The sequence below is a fragment of the Homo sapiens genome, chromosome 7 (genome assembly GCF_000001405.40).
Source record: "Homo sapiens chromosome 7, GRCh38.p14 Primary Assembly".
In the NCBI taxonomy this organism is placed as follows: Eukaryota; Metazoa; Chordata; class Mammalia; order Primates; family Hominidae; genus Homo; species Homo sapiens.
The window spans coordinates 114,940,003-114,959,056 of NC_000007.14; the positions used below are offsets into that span (position 1 = coordinate 114,940,003).

A 19,054-nucleotide genomic window follows, 5' to 3' on the forward strand; every position below is an offset into this window, starting at 1 on the left:
TCTCAGAATGACCTTGAGTTGACTGTAGCAGTAAAAAGATTTCTGGAGTTGTTTAAAAAAGTAAAGATTTTAATTGAAACTAACATATCTCATGAAGATTACATTTCTCTATGATAATGCTGAGTAAATGTTACATAAATCTAGAACATATTGGTTTAGCATATTTTCAATTTATATTTTACTGCTATTTGAATATGGTTTTGTTTATAAAAATCCTTGGAAGTTAAGACCCCATTTGGTTCAGAGACCTTAGCCTCTGGACTCGGTCCCAAGTGGGTGTCTCTCTATTTTTATGTGTTGAAATTTGTTTCATGGCAGAACTTTTTAATTGTTGTGAAATCCCCATGGTACATGAAAAATTTTTGCATGTGCAGAAATTTTTTCCTTCCACTGGAAATGTTAACACGGTTGACTAACAACTTCTGTTTGAATCTCTTTCCTTTCTTTGCTTCCATGGCTTGACATCATGCAGTTTTTCTTACTTCTCTAACTCCTTCCTAATTGTACGGACTCTTCTTGGTACTTGGTACTCTTCTTGATATTTCTTAATATATTCACTCTTTCAGTGAGCTCATTAATTTGAATGGCTTTGGAAATCAAGTTTAGAAAGATGACTATTTCTAGCTATAACCTTTTTTCTGACTTGCAAATTCAAATGTCCAATACTTAATTCATCCACTAGACTGTAAACTCCAAGAAGGCCTGGGCAGCATTTCATAAGTCATTGTATCCTCATCACCTAGCACAATGCCTAAACATCTACTATGCAAAAATATATATTATTGAAAGAATAAATTGGTCTCATGATTTTTAGGCTTTCCCAGTCAAATCCAAACTGAGAACTTGGTCATATCCAACCCCATCTTCCTTGATAATCTTTACAAACCTCTAGTTAGTTTCTCACATTTACTCCCTATTCCATCTTGTTATCCAGTTAATTAAACTCTTATCAACTTCAATATGGGCTTTGCTAGGTCTCTCTTTTAGTTTCCCTTACTGTATTCTCCCTCTTAGATGTATCCATACTCCATTGGAATCATCTGAGTTCAGCCTCTTCTCCCTCAGTTGAAATAGAATCTTTGATTCTGGTATCCAGAAATATGTTTTTTGTTTGTTTGTTTGTTTTTTAGTTCTAAAAATACTTACAAGAAAAAAAAAGCTCACCAAGTGAATTAAAGTGAAGCCAGAACTGAGAATCACAAGTGTGCACAAATTTATTAATCTTCCTAAGGCGTGGTTCTGATAAGGCATTTCATAAAGCTTCAGTGGCTAGTTTGACTTATTTTTCTTGCTTTTGAATTTCATCCAGATTTCTCACCTTAGCATTCTAATATCCACACAATGTCTCTAATCAAACCTTCGCAGTCTTCTGTCCTAATTTGCCACTCATAGTACTTCACAGTCCAGAGAGTTGGAACCTTTGCCCAAACGTCTGCTTTTGGAGTTTGCCCGTGCTGTTCTTCCACCTTTCTCCCATCTGGACTTTTGGAAATCCAACTAATCTTTTGAAGTCCATCCAACATGTATCATTTTCTTCAGTGCTTTTCTTGATCTCTGAATCCTGATGAGTATTTTTTCTTCCTTTGAACCTTTTTAGTGCTCTGGACCTCTCATAGCATGCATTATACCTTGTTGCCAGTTTGCTTTTGGCTTGACTTATGTGCCCCAAAGACTTTACATTTCCTTACATGTTGGCTTTCTCCCTGAGAACCCATAAACCCACTTGCGAATCTCTCGTCCTAAATACCCCCTTCTCAGAGGATGCATTACACAGTCCTTGACTTTTTCTTCACGTTCTAGAGAGAGAATGCTGTACTTGTTTTCTATACCTCCTCACTACTCAGTCACTCCTCATTCAGCTGCAGGCCGACTTTCGTCTCTACCACTCATCAGAGCTTCTTCTCTTTCACCCCTTTCCCTGCTGCTCAACCCCCTACATGCATGGACTCACTCACTTTCATGCTTCCTGTAACCTTTTCACATTTCTCTATCATGGCACATCACTTGCTGTGTTAAAATTACTTGTTTACTGTAAACTTAACAGATTATTTTTACCATGAACATCTCTGGTTCTTTAATGCCAGGCTGATAGTAGGTGCTCAGTAAATACCTGTTACTGAGCCAATAAAATAGGCAGCAGGCAATAGAGGTATACCTGTTCTATTTCCTTAAATTATGGCAGACTTGGAAGCATTTAGAAAAATGTATATACTAAAAAAGGAGAGAAAAATATATAAAATCAATTATATTAAATGTATCTTTTTTAATTCAGGAAAATGTGATAAAGACAATACTGAGAAAGATATAACTCAAGCTACCAATAGCCACTTCACACATGGAGAGATGCAAGACCAGTCCATTTGGGGAAATCCTTCGGATGGTGAACTCATTAGAAGTAAGTATTTTTAGAAAAAACTTTGAGTGATTTTGGGATATGACTATGGTAATATATTCTTCGTTAATTGCCCCAGATAATTCTGCTACAAATCCGTAAATCAACAGCGTTTATCTAAAAGTGGTTTCATTTGTATTTTAAATTACAGAGCTAAAGCTAGGATATACATAATGCTGTCAGTGTTGCCTTTCTTCAGAAATGAAGAATTGACGCGTAAATATTGAACTCTTCTCAGAGAGATTCAGTCAAAATTCAGTTCCTTTTTGAGTAACAACTAAGTGGAAGTCAAACAACTCTAAGTATATGTGGATGGAGAAACTAAAAAGAGGAAGATGGAGCTAAAAGATTAATGCTACTATGGTCTCTGTTCTTCTAGCTAACTGACTCCAAATTTTTTTTATGATTAATATTTTATCACTGTTTGTTAAAAAAATTTTTTGTGATATTCTTCTTCCTAAAATTGCATACAAAAGCTTCGGTCTATTTTCATGTTATTCTTTGAATGCCCTGCAATACCTTGTCTTTTGGGTGCTGATCAGAATGCTGAGTCCATGTGGGGTTCTGCTCTCGAGCTCCTGGAGTTTACGTTCTGGTCACTAAGTTCCCCTAGGTGTGTTCAAGATGAATTTGCCATACAATGAATTATTCGACATAGCAAACACCTAGGTGTAAAGATTGCTGCTAAGCCACACCTGGAAGAGCATAGGGAGTAAATCTTTTGATATTCCCCTTTGGAGTAACCAAAATACCATGTTTCCTTCTCAGTTTTTCAGAGTGGATGGAGGAGAATTTACTTCTGGGATCAAATGTTTATTTTATGTTTAAAAACTTATTTCTTTAGTTTAAGTAACTTCATACTATAGATCCTTTACAGTCTTCCACATTACACTTACTTTGAAACTTAGAACATTTCTTTCCTCTCTAGAATGCCACTACCTGTCTCTAACTGAAAACTAAACAAAATAAATTAGAAAAAAAAAGGAAGAGGGTCCAACTTAGGAGAAAATAAACAACAACAATAAAAACACTATTGAAGGAAATTTCCAGGTTTCAAACAAAAGCTCTAAAAATGAGTGTTTTAGGTTAATTTTAGGACCATTTTGGTTTTTATACACTTTGGTCTTGGAGAAGGGAGTAGGAAGGAAGGAAATGAGACTCAGGAATTAGTGAGGAGGAAGATTTATATAGCTTTATCCAAAGAATCATATAAACATTATTTCAAGTAAATATTTATCTGAAAAACATATATTGATTAGCATTTATCTAATATTGACTCTGCTATTGTGAAACACATGATTTTGTGGAATAACTGGCCTATGTTATCTCTGACTTCCTAGCAACCAGAGTTAGTGAGCACTAGAAGAAGTTCTAGAGACAATTTTACCTCTATCTGTTGGGAAGCAAAATGGTTTTCTCACTTTTTTTTCGGTGGTAACAATTTTAAGTGTGTGCTTCATTTAATTGGTTTATTTCCTTAATCTCTTTTCCTAGGGCCCACAATAGGAAAATGTGAATAAGATTTCTTAGAACAACAGCAACAAAAAAGACAAACACTATTAAATAAGAATATGGAGAGTCATGCTAATGTGTTAAATTTGTTTATATTATTTGGTGAAGCTCATATTAGTCATAGAATCCATACCATTAAAAAGAATGAATTAAAATGATTTACTCTACGGTTTCATTGGTTAAGTGGGTACCAATCTAATATATTGTAAATTGCATGAGTTTCTTTATTGAGATAATGACGTACCCTGTGCCATGGGACTTTGGAACATTAGGAAACCACTGTCTAGTTTCTTACTAATATTCACTGAAGGAATGAAGAGATACAGAAATTTACACCCCCTCTGAAAGGGCTGCTGGGGAAACTGACAGTTTGAATGGATTTACAAAAGATACTGGCCAAAGATAGCAATGCCACTCCTGCCTGAAACATAAGCTGGCAAATATTTCCAAATATTTGTGGGTGAAATCTGACTCTGAATTTTGATTATAAATTTCAAAAACTCCATTTTTGTTATTTTCCCAGTCACACTTTTCTAGACAAAGTCTACTTTGTTGGATCAACAGAAAAAATTTGATATCTGGATTTTGCAGAAGTGGAACATTTTATATCATCTTTAAAACTGACTCAATTCTGGATAGCATTTGAAAGTTTTGTATTGTGGTAGCTTCTGCTATTCCAACTCCTTTGATATTAAACTCTCAGAGCTGCCTGACTTTCCTTCTTTGGCCTTCCCCACAGAGTCATTGGCCATCTCTGTGTAATTTAGTCTGTCTGTCTTAACTCTGAAGTTAGGAAGATGTGTATTTTCCTCTTGCTTAAGCATCTCGCACATTTTGGGGGCCCAGAAACTCTTTTGTAATAACAATAGGCCCTGGAAAAGGAGACTCTGGCTCAGAGCTTCATGGGAGGAGGGGAACATCTGTGTTGAGTCAGGCCCGAGCTGGCTCCGATTCCAGGAGTCCTGTGTGGCTCTCTGAGCACCGTGGAAGAAGCGGACAGCTGGCTCTCACGGAATTGATGTTAGTGTTCCCACTGTAGCGCGAGTTTGGCTGAATAGAGGGATCATCAGAAAAATGAGGCTGGCTGGGGTGTGGGAACATTTTCAAATGCACAACCCACTCTTTTTCCAAACTTCCATGGGGCAGCTCAGCTGCATACGCAAGAAGTGAAGGAGACAGACGCGGTCGAATGTGACTTCTTTTTCTTTATTCTTGAAAGTGGTTAGTGAGGGCTTGGCAGCTCGTGTCTCCGTTGTGCCGGATGGCTGCTGCCTTCTTTGCCGGACACTCAAGGCATAATTTATAGGGGACTGTTAGCTGTCAGTGTAATGAGGCTGTTTTTACTTTTCTTTGCTGAGAATAACTGAGCTCTGGAAAGTCAGGGAGTGGCTGCTTTGGAAATTGTATTCTAATTAAAGGGTGTATTCTCAGGCCTCATAAGGGATATTCACGCTGAGAATAATTTCCAAATTATTCTATGAACTTTAACCCTGACCTTAGCGGACTACCTGCTTGAACTCATACTTGGTTCATGCTCTACACAGAAGTTTGTACTTAGTCTGCTTTCCCTGGTCCACGTAGAAAACATTGCAGGTGGAAGACCTGGGGTATTATGGTTTTTCAGGGTGCGGATTTCAAATTGGTTGCCCTTGAATTGCTAACATATTACAGAGAATACATTATGGAAGTAATAAATAAAAAGAAGAAACTCATATGGAATCAAACATTTCGAATAAATAGGCCACACACAATCTGGTCAGAGAACGCACATTTTGGTTCTCTTTCCTATGAAATTTAAATTTAAAAAGACAATTCCAACCACTTAAATTTGTTTAAAAATTTCCAAATCAAATTAGTAAAGAATTAAAAACAATGGAGGTTTTATGAAAAAAGTTTATAATTGGAAATTCTCTTTTTTTATTTTATGACTTTTTATCCTTTTTACATTTCAAAAGGCTTTTATACTCTTAGAACATAATTTGGTGTATAATTTAATTTCTGAAAGGTGGCTTAAATTTTGGAATTTATAAGAGCACCAACTAAGCCTTTGGCTTTTCCCCTCAGATTAGCGTATATGGTATAATTGAAGCTATGCCCTGTTTTAATTGTCACTATTCCTCTGACTTAGTAAAATAAATGTTACAGTGAAGCGACACCATCAATTAATATTAATTTTTCTATTTAACCCGTAATATGCATAAACTGATAACAGGCAATAGGCAACATTTCATGTTTTAATTAGACAAGAAAAGGAACAGAAGCAACAGAAGCAACATTTTGATCTCAGTCTTTGCGGGGATTTCTAAGGTAGGAAGAAGAGTGTGTGTGTGTGTGTGTGTGTGTGTGTGTGTTACTGTGCTTACACTCAGGCATGTGTAATATTTTCCTTTAATTTAGGTCAAATTCTACTATTCTAATTATTTCCTATAGAGAGCTTACATTTTTCTTTGTTCCTCTTTATAAAGTGCCTCAGGTCTCTATCTCAGGTTTTTCTAGGTCTTTCTGAAAATTCTTATTACTTAACTTTATCCTTGGACATTGCTTTTACATAAACGTCTGCTAATTCTAAATGTCATTACTTAACTCCAGAAATTTTCCTTAGCTTCTCTTCTGAAATAAATTTCCCATTAAATTAAACTATTTTGTTCAGCTAATTCTCTCCTTTGTGATTTTATAGAATTCCCATGATCTGAAGCAAAGTTAAAATGCTCTACTTAAATGGTAATCCCCATTCTATTTAACCCATTTATTCATTTTGAAGAGTTTTTAGCTCTCATAATAGTAAGCACTTAATTGGCAGTAGAACGCAAGCTCTTCTCCGGCTCACACTTGCTCACCCTTATGGAGCTGCCGTATCATGCCTTTTCACTCATCTTGCTGCTTGAAACCTTTCTCTTGGCATCATCTGCAATTGCTCTCAACATCAACAGGCTCTGTTATTCGGAGCTCTATTATTTCTTTTCCTAGCCTTTGCCAACTTAATGCGGATCACCCCTTAATGCATACCATTTCATCACTTTAGGGAATGCCTCCTTTATGTAAAATACTGAAAGAAAAGCAGATACTCAGGTGTGCTATTTATATACTTAGAACATTTTTACTTTGTTGGTAAGCAAAGAGCATTAAGAGGTTTGTATTAAGTTTATTTCACAGCTCTCATTTGATGGCACATTTCAGTAAGTGTTAATTTGGATTTCTTTAGAATTCACTTTATATGGAAAAGGTCATCAACCAGCCCCTAGATAACTATGACCTAGTTAAGACTGGAAGATATAGCTATCATATTATGTTTCTTGGGTCATCTAGGAGTTTTTTCCCTAATATTTCATGCTCATTCATTTTTGGGGGCACATATTGGAAGCAAATAATTCTGACTTTTGCCTTGCTCAATGTCTTTTCCTCCTCCATTTGGCTCTCAGAAAAATTCTCTTTTTATTCAGTATGTTGGACGTTATGTGACTGTAGTACACATGCTTTGATTATTGTTTTAGAGGAGGATCTTTATGGTCAGTTATTCCAAAATCAAACCAATCGTTTGGGTTCAAGATTGGGTGGATAATCCTAAGTCATTTTTGATGGGCTCCTGTATTTATCTCATTGGTCAATGGCAGCCATTAGGCTGTATTCTAGCATGGAGGTCAAGTTACCTGACACACTTCTTCTCAGGCTCCATTATTTCATCCTCATCTGGCTTCTGCCCAGAAGCTGGGGAGAACCATTTCATTTTGAGCCGATTTTTGTTTGGAGCATTTAATGTTCTGGGGCTAAGAGGTCAATGGAAACTGACTTCCAGGAGTCAGACCGTGCTGCATCATTACTGCTAATGCTGGGCCAGTTACCTACCTCTCTGAGCTCTAACTTCTCATTTTTAAAAGGGAGGTGCTAACATTTTATGCCTCATTGTCATTTTGATGATTATACAAGAAAATGCATATTGTATGCTTCCTTAGCACAAAGCAAAATGAGTAAGCACACACTGAATTTATTGGTTTTCATTGTTATTATCCTTGAGCCCAGCTATTAGTTCTAAGGTTTGTTTTGTTTTGTTTTTTAAGTTCATCATGGCTGCATTGAGTTACATGTCCAGACAGGCTGGATCCAAAAGGTCATGTCTTTCTGAGACCTTTGATATTGTCTACAACAATAACCAGCACATTGATTGCTGAATGGTTTATGCTTAATAAATGCATGATGACTTAAGTGTATTGAATTAATAAGGGGGAGGGAAGAGATGCTTTACCTACCTTGCCTCTATTATTTCAGACGTTAAGGTCCTGAGATGAAGGTTCTAAATCACTACAGTATTCCATTTATTCTTCTAACTCCCTTCTTACTCCCAGGCTGCACGTGGTTTATTCATGTCAAGTTTGAAGTATGTATAGATGACTTTTATGATATTAAAGCAATCAAGTTCTAAATTTGACTATCGTTTACTGATAAGGCTACTTTGAAGAGTTTTCAGTGAAGTTCTTATGGTAGTGCTCTGTATAACATTCATTTTCTGAGGAGGTGAATAGGAATGACACTTTATTTATGGCCTTTTTTGCATCCGATGTTCCTTATTTTTCTTGCCTACCCATAAGAAAAAAAATTCGAGACGACCTTACTTCCCTCCCTGCCTTTTGCATCCCTCCCTCCAGCTTGGATGGACTTTTCTTCCATCCTTCCTTCTCTCCCTCCCATTCTTTTGTCCTCCTTTTCTTCCTCTTTTCTTTTTTTCCTCTTTTCTTCTTCTTTCTCATATTATTCTCTGCCTTTCTAACAGATGTGTGTAATCCTACTGCATATATAGATATTGTTCATCAGTATAAAGGTATATATAATGAAATCCATTACTATTTAAAGATTGTAATTGGTAATAAATTCCTTCTCATATTTACCTCTAGTTCTCTGGAATTGTAAATTGGAATTTGCTCATGGATTTTAATGAGTTGTGAAATGACAAGTTATATACAAACGAATTTGCAGAGTGTAAGAAAAAAGAGACTGCTTTACAATTTATGGAAGTAGATGTTTCTATGTATACTTCTCTGTGTTTCCTCCAAACAAAGCTTCTTTTTGTGTTTTTCTAGATACTTTCCATTGTGCTTAAGTGATCAGATTTGTTTTCGTGAAGATTGGATAAGAATATTTTTAAAGTGCTTTGTATACCATAAAGCACAATGTGTGTTGTTATTATTGTCTTATTATTATCATTAATATCATTATTCTAATTTATTACTTTACCTTTCACTTTTATTATATTCTATGACATTTGATTTGTAATCTATATCCTACTTCTTTTGTTAAAGGTTTTTAATCTCTTCCTGTTATTCCTAAATTATTTGGGTCATTATTGGGGGAAATGAGATGGCATTAAAGTGTAAGTAGTGGACAAGGGCTCAGTGAGGAGGTAGATTTATTCCTCTCCTATTGGAGAGTGTTTCTGAGCCTCAGGAAGGAGCTGAGGCTTGGGAACTGGCTTAGAGATCATCCCAAAAATGCTAACCACTGAAGAAATAAATAACATTTAATGATCAAGACCACAAATGCTGTGGTCTAGATAATTTTAGTTCTCAAACCTCAAACTTCCTGGATCTGAACACTCTGTGAACTTACACGTAAATTATGTTTTTGCAGATCATGTTGTTATATTGAAATTTGTGAATTAGGAATTAAAGAGTAATTTTAAAAACAAAATTAAAAATTGATTACATGAAGACTGAATGCTTACAGTTTACCAACTGAGTTATGTTGGAGATAACAGTGATGGGTGTGGGTTCTGCATTCAAAGTTTACAGTCTTGTGGGAGAGACAATTTATTGTGATATGATAATGTGTATTATGAGTGCTCCAGTGGGGAAGTGCAGGCTGTAGTAGGTTCTCATGGGATAACACAAACCCTAAATGTGGGGAGGGGGCCAGAGGGAGCTTTCCAGTGGAAGTGTTGTCTGTGATACCTAAAGGGAGTCCACCAACTGAAGCTGTTCGTGGGAGGGACTGAAGCTGGGGTGTTCCAAGCCCAAAGCACAGCACACCTACAGTTCTAGAGGTAAGAGAGGACATGGCCATTTTGAGGGGAGCTGGGGAAGTTTTGTGTAATCTGGGATGTAAATGTTAGATGAGGCGTGGTGAGAAATGAGAAAGAATCTGTTAAAGACTAAGGGAAGATAGAAAGTATTGAAGGGAGTAGTGACTTAATCAACATTGTGTTTTAGTTGGGCTATATTTTAGGATGATGACTCTGGAAATAGTGAGAAAATAAATAGGAATGGGAAGGACTGAAGGCATTAAGAGATCAACTGGAAGACTGTTATGTAATGCCTCTGAGAAAGGAAGGTGTCTTGGACTGGGGTAATGACAGGTAGGATTACAAGGAGGAGATGGATTCAGCTTTCTATGGGATGTAGCCAGTAAGACATATAGGATTAAAGGAATGACAGGTGCTGAGAATGAAGCCCAAGGTTTTAGTTTGGACAAGTGATAGTTGTGATGAAATGACGGTGGAGCAAATGATTTGTGGATATTGTCCAAAGAGGGTGTGAAGTGATGAGCTACGGCTATAAAATGGGTAGGGAAGGAAATAAAGACAAGAAGGGCATCATAAATAAGTAAAAACATCAGAGGGGTTAATAGTCCATAAGTTTCCTGTTGTTTCAGAAATAAAACAGGTATAGATATAGTAAATGAAGGGAAAATATGGGAAGAGAAGATGCAGTATGAGAATGAGAAATATGAATTTAAGATTTCTGAGTTGGAATAGTCTCAGGGGAGGTAAAGGCTCAAGGTATAGTCATAAGGAAGATGGGTGACTGAAATAGTTTCTCCTAAACTAAAAGTGCTATAATCAGAAAAGGCTGCATAAAAATTGCCATATATAACAGCTGGGGAAGAGGAGATCTAGAGGTTTGTTTTAATCAAATATATCCAACAATAGGTAAAGCTGGGTTTTTATCAATGTTTCTGGAATTTCAGATGCCTCATTGAAACTTAAAGGGTCAGGAGGGGCCAAGTGCAGTGGCTCACACCTGTAATCCCAGCACTTCAGGAAGCCAAGGCATGAGGATTGCTTGATTTCAGGAGTTTGAGAAAAGCCAGGGCAATATAGTGAAACCCTGACTCCATAAAACAAAACAAACACAAAAAAATCATTAGCCAGGCATGGTGGTGCCTGCCTGTAGTCCCAGTTACTTGGGAGGCTGAGGTGGGAAGATAGCTTGAGCCTAGGAGGTTGGGACTGCAGTGAACTGTGATTGCATCACTGCATTCCAGCATGGGTGACAGAGGGAGACCCTGTCTAAAAAAGAAAAAGAAAAGAAAGACAAATGGTTTAGGAAGAATAGCCAGTTGGTCTGGTCATCTCTGGTTCTTTGCTGCTTTGGCCTAAGGTCAGTCACCTGTTGGGGATGAATGGAATAGTAGTTTGATATTCTCTAAGGTGAGGTCCCTGAAATGAATGGAAAAAAAAAATACAGATTTTTTGGAACCAGTCTTCATTACTGTAAGATTCCAAAGAGTCTTCTCCATTTAGTCTAGTAGATATACAAAATGATAATTTAAAAAAAGACATATGTCAGTGTCTGTGTATATATAGATACATATGTATATGAAGGAAAGATTAATATCAAATTATACATGTGTGTTTATTTTTTTCTTAATGCAAGATATAGATCCATTTCCTCTCAATAGTTACCTTTAGGGAGTTATATGAAGTTGAGTGAAAGCATATGGGTGAAGAGGACTCCCACTTAATATTCTGTATTCTCTTTTCTGTGTTTTTTTTTCCCATGAAGTGAATTATTTTATTAAATTAAAACAAAAATATTTTAAAAAGAAAATTATCACGTGATATGGCAAAATATCAGGGTGGGGTACCACCTCTTTAAAGTAGCATTAGAGCTTAGTCACCTGTAGAAGATACTTCAGGTTATAGGTGGACCAGGACATTCGGCTTCCTTCAGGTTCTGTAGGAGATAGAACCAGCTACATGATTCAGAAAATGGAGGGCAGTGCAGAATGAGAATGCAGGGTCTCTTGTTAAAATATTATTATGAATTTCAAGAGAACAACAGCAAAGCATTAAGCCAGGCACGGGGGTCCTTCTAAGTGCTGGGCTTGCCACAACCGCGTAGTTTCGCACCCATGATGCTGGGCCTGGCTGCAAGCATTGAAGGAGTGGGACTCCATTTCTGGTAAACATAAAGTAATATTCTATACCTATTTTTATAATTGTTTTATCAGCAAATTCCAAGAATTCAGGAAAGAAGGAGTTTTTCTGGGCTTGGGCAAATCAGTTGCTATTCTACTCACAAACATGAGAATCTTGTATAGCTATGTGAAACAATCGCCATGGGCAAGCTCCGGAAGGCAGTGGTTCTCAGCTCTTAGCTGGCCACAGCCAGCAGAAAGCAGGAAGACCTGCTTCCAGTTTTATCCAAGGCTCAGTACAGCGTGTAGGGGTCCGTCAGAATGAGAGGGGCTGGTGGAAATCCCTCTCTAGCAAGCTGAGAATCAGTACCTGATTTGCTCCATTTTTTTTTTTTCAACTAGCCTTTAAGGAGTTAGTGACAAATCCATGCTCCACAGTTTTCCACCAAAAGCTGGATTTTTTCCAGGTCCCTGAGTTCTGCAGCAAGATACACAAAAATCAAAGGAAATCTCTTCTAAAACACACAGATGCTGTCTTAGAGGGTGAAAATTACATTAAAGTGAACCATAGAAGAGAGTAGGTGGAGAAATTTGTTCTGCTTTGGAACATTCTTTAATTAAGTATATTTTCCATGGTTCATGAGAACTTGTGAGAACTCCGATTAGAAAATTTAAGGAAAAAAAGATTCCCACCATCTCAAATTGTCATGAATAATTGATTCATGCCAGTGTGATCATAATAAGATCATACTTCGGATGCTGCCCATCATTCCCTGTCTTTATGAAAAAGATATTAATATATCATTTATGTGTAGGCCTGTCTTTGCAGGTTATCTTCACGATATTCCTTCAGCATTGCAAAGGCGCTGTCATAATTACAAAGGAGACTGATAATGTAGGCAGCAGTGGCAACAACACCACACCCAACGAATGGTGTGATTATTAATAATTACCATTTTCTTCTTATTCTTTGTGAGTTGGGTTCTTATTATTATGTTTCTCCCATATTCAGTAGATTTTTAATCTTACCAAATGGTTTTGTGTAAAAATATTTACTACAGAACATGGAAGATTAAACCCATATTCCTACATATTTAAGTTTTCAGTATTTTAGCCAATTTGTGATAGTTGATTTTTAGTCTAGCTTTACATCTTTTAAATAACAAGAACAAGTCATTCAGCATTTTTAATTCAAATACATGTAACTTGTTTTTTGATTTCTAAATAAAAGGTTGTCTTTTAAATTTATTAAATTCAAATATTTTACCCCAATGAAACAAAAAAATAGGTATATATCATAAAAATCTTTTTTAAAAAGAGGATTGGAATAATATTGATTTTTGCCATAAAGGCTACATGTGTTTGGACTAATTCAAAGTAGATGGAACAATTTCAGGCTACAAGAACTTCTGATTATTTCAACATTAAATTTGAAGCTAGTTACCAATCTGGTCCTGGATAGTTGATGTGAAGGGATGTTGATATTATATTAATTCCCAGGTGTCACAGAAAATCAAATAGCAGTACCTGAAATTAGTCAATCAGTCATTGTGTGAAACAGTGTTGAGTGTGATATGGCTGTGACTCTTTATGCCTTCTGCTCCACTTTCTAGCTATGTGATCTCTACTACAGTTGTCCCTTCGGTATCCATGAAGGTTTGGTTCCAGGGCCCCTGAGCATACCCTAATATTCAGATGCTCAGATGCCTTATATAAAATGGCATGGTATTTGCATATAACCTATGCATATCTTCTAATATACTTTAAATTGTCTCTACATTACTTATAATACCTAATACAATGTAAATGCTATGTAAATAGTTGTTATACTATATTGTCTAGGGAATAATTAAAGAAAAAAAGTTTGCACATGGTCCAGAAGTTACAACCACCTTTCTCCCCCTGCTGGATATTTTTGATTTGTGATTGACTGAATCCACTGATTTGGAACGCATAGACAGAGGGAGCTGATTTTAGTGTCTTATTTGCCCTTCTAGGTCAGGATTTCCCAGTCTCAGACTGATGTAGAGCTTCTTTTCATTTCTTTGAAATCACATTGATTCTTTAAGTCTAACAGCCGTACCTGTTTCACTCATTCCACCCTGCACAACATATTGATATACCTTGGACTTTTTTATTATGGAGATCTGCTCCATTCTAAGGTTTTGAAACCAGAAATTCACATTCTCATTTCTCCCTGTCCTTTTCCTTAATGATAATTGTGCCTAATCTGCTAATTACGTTCTTTTCCCTTGTAATATCTTATCCGCTTCTTGTCTTCACCTGACTGTTTTCATGGTCAACTGGAATCTGCAAATGATCTTTCATGATCTCCCTAAATTCCATAATCTTATGGCATTTCTGCCATGCTTATGCTGAAACTATGGTAACAGACCACACATCGGTCGGTCTTCTCACTTCAGGTTCCCAGCCTGTGGGGCATAGAGGAAGAGTGTTATGTAATGGAAGGATTAATTATAGAATAAATATGTGTTCTCTCATCTCAGTTGAAATGTCTCTGCTTCTCAGTTTTTAGTTGGTTTCCATTTTGGGTTCATTATTGCCTTTTGATTTTATAACACTTACTGTTCTGTAAGGATTCAGATTATATTCTAGTCCTCTCATTACTGGGTCATTGTAGTTTATATTTAAGCACAGCTCCTGGTAGTCAAATCCAGTTCTGGTCTACATGCCTGATACCTTAAGCCATCTTGGTCTATGTCCTGGGAGAATTAGTAAATACTACTACAGTAGTGTTTTGAGACTGATAGGTTGTGTTTCTCATTTAGTGCAGTGGGCTCTTCTCAGTCCTTATTCTATCTGTAGGATTTGACAGGACATGTTTTCTGCTTGAAACTCCCTCCCTATCCTACCACTCCCCTCACCACTTTCTGCCTCTATAGTTCATGTTGACTCCCTTTCAGTCTCTCAGATGCCACTGGGTTCCTTTCTGCCTCTCGTCGGTCTTTTGCATACCAGATCTTCCTTCAGGCTTGTCCCTTCAGAAAGGCCTTCCCAGACCCCCATCTACAATGGCTTTTCCTATTTCTCACAACACCCTTTCCTTTTTAGCTGTTGCCACAATTTGTAATTTATTTGTGCAATTCACATGTCTAATGTCTGCTGGCTCTAAGTTGTACCCCAAGCAATCAGCATAATTCCAGGACCACAGTAAACTTTCATTAAGCAAATTTGGATGATTGATTTTAAAAATTGAAATAAATTGATTTTTTTCTCTACTACTTCCTTTCATGAACTTTCGCCATAGCCAAAATATGTTATTTGCACCTCTGTCCACTTGTCTAGTATTTTCCTTTTCCCAGGCTTCACTCATGTTACCCATCTCTCCACGTCTCCCGCCCAACAAGCAAGGCTCGTGTGATTTCTGCCTCATCTGGGACTGGGAGTGTTTAACTGTATCTCTCCTAAAGGACTCATTAATTTCAAAATTGTAATACAGGTGTTTATGACCCTCTTCTCCATTACTGGACTGAAGGTTCCTTAAGGGTAAGATTGGTGTCTCATTCAGCTCTGTAGACCCCACATCCCTCAGCCCAGGGCCATGCACATAGTTTCCCCCAAATACATTTATGTTAATTGTTGAATAAATGAAAGTCTTTACCTTTTGACTACATTTAGCGTCTCTGTAGGAGACTGACAGCTTTCAATTAGTTAAGCTGTGGTAATTTGTTTAAAATGTGGATTGACTATCTTTGCTTCTCTTAAGGAGCTAATTTTCTCAGTCCGCAGTTCATGCATATTAAAAGATGTTTTTATTAGTAATATTAACAATGTTATTACCATAGCTTTTTACAGTTAATGAAGTTTTTCATATATTGCTCTAACCTGGGCTATCAGCAGCTCAAGCATATGGGATGAGTATCACTATTATTTATCTATAAGACTGAGCTCAGAAAAGTCAAGCAACTGACCTGGGGCCATGCAGCTAATATCTTGATTTTTCAGCATACACCCTTAACCCTAGAGTGATTCTCAAATGGAGAGTGGGGTAGAGATAAGGGTAGGGAAGGGACTTTGTGATGTATGTGGTCCTCTAGAGAGTGTTAGAATCATAGGAGAGGAGACAGTTGTTCCAAGTTATAACCTTATTCCAAGCTCCCAATTCTAGTCCACTTTCCTAGTTGAAAATTACTGCTCTTTTACCACTAGTATTAATAAGACTGCATTCTGCCCTTGTGTTGGCAAGAGAAAAGTTGGAAAAATTGCAGTATACTATACTCCTTCAGAACTTCATCTTTGTTGTGCTAAATTCAAAACAGTTCTTGGGCTTAATACATAAATATTATATATATATACACACACACATATATATATATACACACACACATATATATACACACATATATATATATATTTGACATCTTAGAAAAAAGGCATTTTTATTCTTTAATACCATTTACTTATTGCCTCCTGGAGAACTTGGTCTCATTCCAATGGATAGGTAGAGAATCAGCATATGCCATTTTTAATGTGCGGTAAATATGCATTTTCCTTCTGCAGCAAGACAAAATCTTGATAACTGAAACCAATGATATGAGGTGGGGAAGGCATTATGATTCTATAGTCATATCCTTTTGTGTGAAATAATGGTTCTCATCTCTTTATCTTGGCTTAAAATATGTACTGATGTGCAGAACCCACCCCAGACCAATGAATTTAGAATCATTAGGGGTAGGGCTTGGGCATTTGTGAGCCCCCATGTAATCCTGAAGTGCAGCACAGATTGAGTATTAAGGTTTTTGATTGAAAATATTGCCCTGAAACAAAGTTAGTAAAATAAGGTGAATATTAGTCACTTATCTGAATACTTAAAGACCTTGTTTCAGAAAGTGGTTTCTTACAGTTATGACTGATGGCCCACAGGAACTGATAGGTATGGCTCTCTGTTTGGGATAGGGTGTGTTTTGGCTCCTTGGCTTAACCCTTAGCTCTTTTTGGAAGTTGGTTTTTCAAGAGATGTCATCATTGTTCAGAATGTGTTTCTTACTTGTAGTTTTACTCTGTAACACTTTTACCTAAGCTTTATAATATTACAAAAGAATGATTATAATTTGCACAGGTAGTCTGGCTAAATGGTACAGTGAAAGCACTTCAAAATCTTTCAGGTGTAATCATAAGAAATTATTTATCTTAGGATTCTTGATATATTACATCGAAATCAAGGTTTATGTTATATTTGAGTAAAGTTTTCAAGGATGAAAACGATTTTGCCTATTTTTTTCTGAAGAATTACAAACACCTGCTTCTTTCATCTTCCTTTGACACTCTGTTCCTGAATTGGAGTAAGCTGTGTTTTTTAGTTAAAAATTTCTGGAATAAGCAGTCTTCCAATCAAGTGTTTGTAGATGTATTGGAAATAATGTCTCCTTAACTATTATAGCTAGAGTTTGTTCTTGGCATAAAGCAAAGTCTCTTATAATAGCGATACAGTTTACCTAAGAGTCATATTAATAAGTAAAAAAAAGATCAGCTTTTTGAATAATATATAAATTCATATGGTATCAGTGGTATCTAGGCATTTGGGACAATACATAATTAGTTTCAGTTCCCTTTGAGAGGGAGATGTGGATGTTAAAATAAATTGCTGATGAAGCATATACTTTGGAGAACAGTGTATTTCAAAACTGTGCAATATCAGCTTTTTCTTTCAATGGTATGGAAATATAGCATAAGACTAAGAAGATTTATTAGGGGCAGCTTTAAGCCATTCTTACTGTATAAAAGTTCATAGTTTGCTCATTTAGGAGTAGTTACCAAAACAAAGATAATAGCAAATATTTATAGGCCTGCTAGGAAAACATTGCATCTATACAACTTTTGGCACCATTATGGTCAATAAGCCAATAATAATTATTTGCTTGTGTAAGAATAATCTGTATCACAATATTTAAGCATTTAATAGGGTTTGGTCATTTAATTATTAAAAGTTACTCTTTTATTAAAAAATGAGTCATGGACTTACTCCAGAAAAACTAGCACTCACAAAGTAGGAAAACTTATCATTGTGAAATAAATATGTGCTGAGAAAGAGTAGAAGGAGCATAGCTTGTAATAAGTTGATTTTATTAAGTAAAAGTGAAGAAACTGCCTCTGTGGAAGGAACTATTTAGCTACCAGGAATAAATATCATAAACTAAACTGTTCTTGCAGAGCTTAATTCTAATCACTCTCACATTGAGGGAGTTCCTTCAATGGCTTTAGTGTTTCTGTGGAAACTAATTAGGATACCACATACACAGTCCATGTAGTATAAGACCATATGTAAGCACAGTTTACCATATACTCTGGATTTTTTGGAGACACACAAACAAAATACGCTCTCTTCTTATTTTTTGCATAATTTTGTGAAGTCTTTACTCTGAAATTGATGAAGGTTATCACCGTTACCTTAAATATGTTTGAAACTATTTTCCCGGCTGGGCAAGGTGGCTCACGCCTGTAATCCCAGCACTTTGGGAGGCAGAGGCAGGCGGATCACCTGAGGTCAGGAGTTCGAGACCAGCCTGGCCAATGTTGTGAAACCCCATCTCTACTAATAATACAAAAATTAGCCGGGCGTGGTGGTGCATGCCTGTAATCCCAGCTACTTGGGAGGCTGAAGCAGGAAAATTGCTTGAACCCAGGAGGCAGAGGTTGCAGTGAGCTGAGATTGCACCATTGCACTCTAGCCTGGGTGACAAGTGTGAAACTCCATCTCAAGAAAACAACAACAACAACAAAATAACAAACAAACAAACAAACAAATGATTTTCCCTAAAATATGCAGCCCATTACTTAGCTAAGGATTCGCCACTCCTCATTTATTATCTTCCTCCGGTTTGCTTATTTTGATAAACATTGGGTTCACAATCAGTTCCTTGTCCTCATTAAGCCTAGAGGAAATGAGGGGTTTGTTGTAACACTCACTGGGAAGAAGTCTTCAATTTTGTTTGTTTGTGTTATGACATCTACAGTGTTAAAGTAAAAATATTTAAATGATACAGTTCACAGAGTACATACTTA

At 36.6% G+C, this 19,054-nt stretch overlaps 1 protein-coding gene across 2 annotated transcripts in view; it reads left to right on the forward strand.

Moving 5' to 3' along the window:
- Nucleotides 1–19,054, forward strand: part of MDFIC (MyoD family inhibitor domain containing) — a 97,824-nt gene that overhangs the window by 17,909 nt on the left and 60,861 nt on the right. For both annotated transcript variants that reach the window (NM_001166345.3, NM_199072.5), the window contains exon 3: nucleotides 2,273–2,395. In NM_001166345.3, the coding sequence (NP_001159817.1) occupies nucleotides 2,273–2,395 (123 nt within the window). The remainder of the gene's footprint in view (nucleotides 1–2,272; nucleotides 2,396–19,054) is intronic.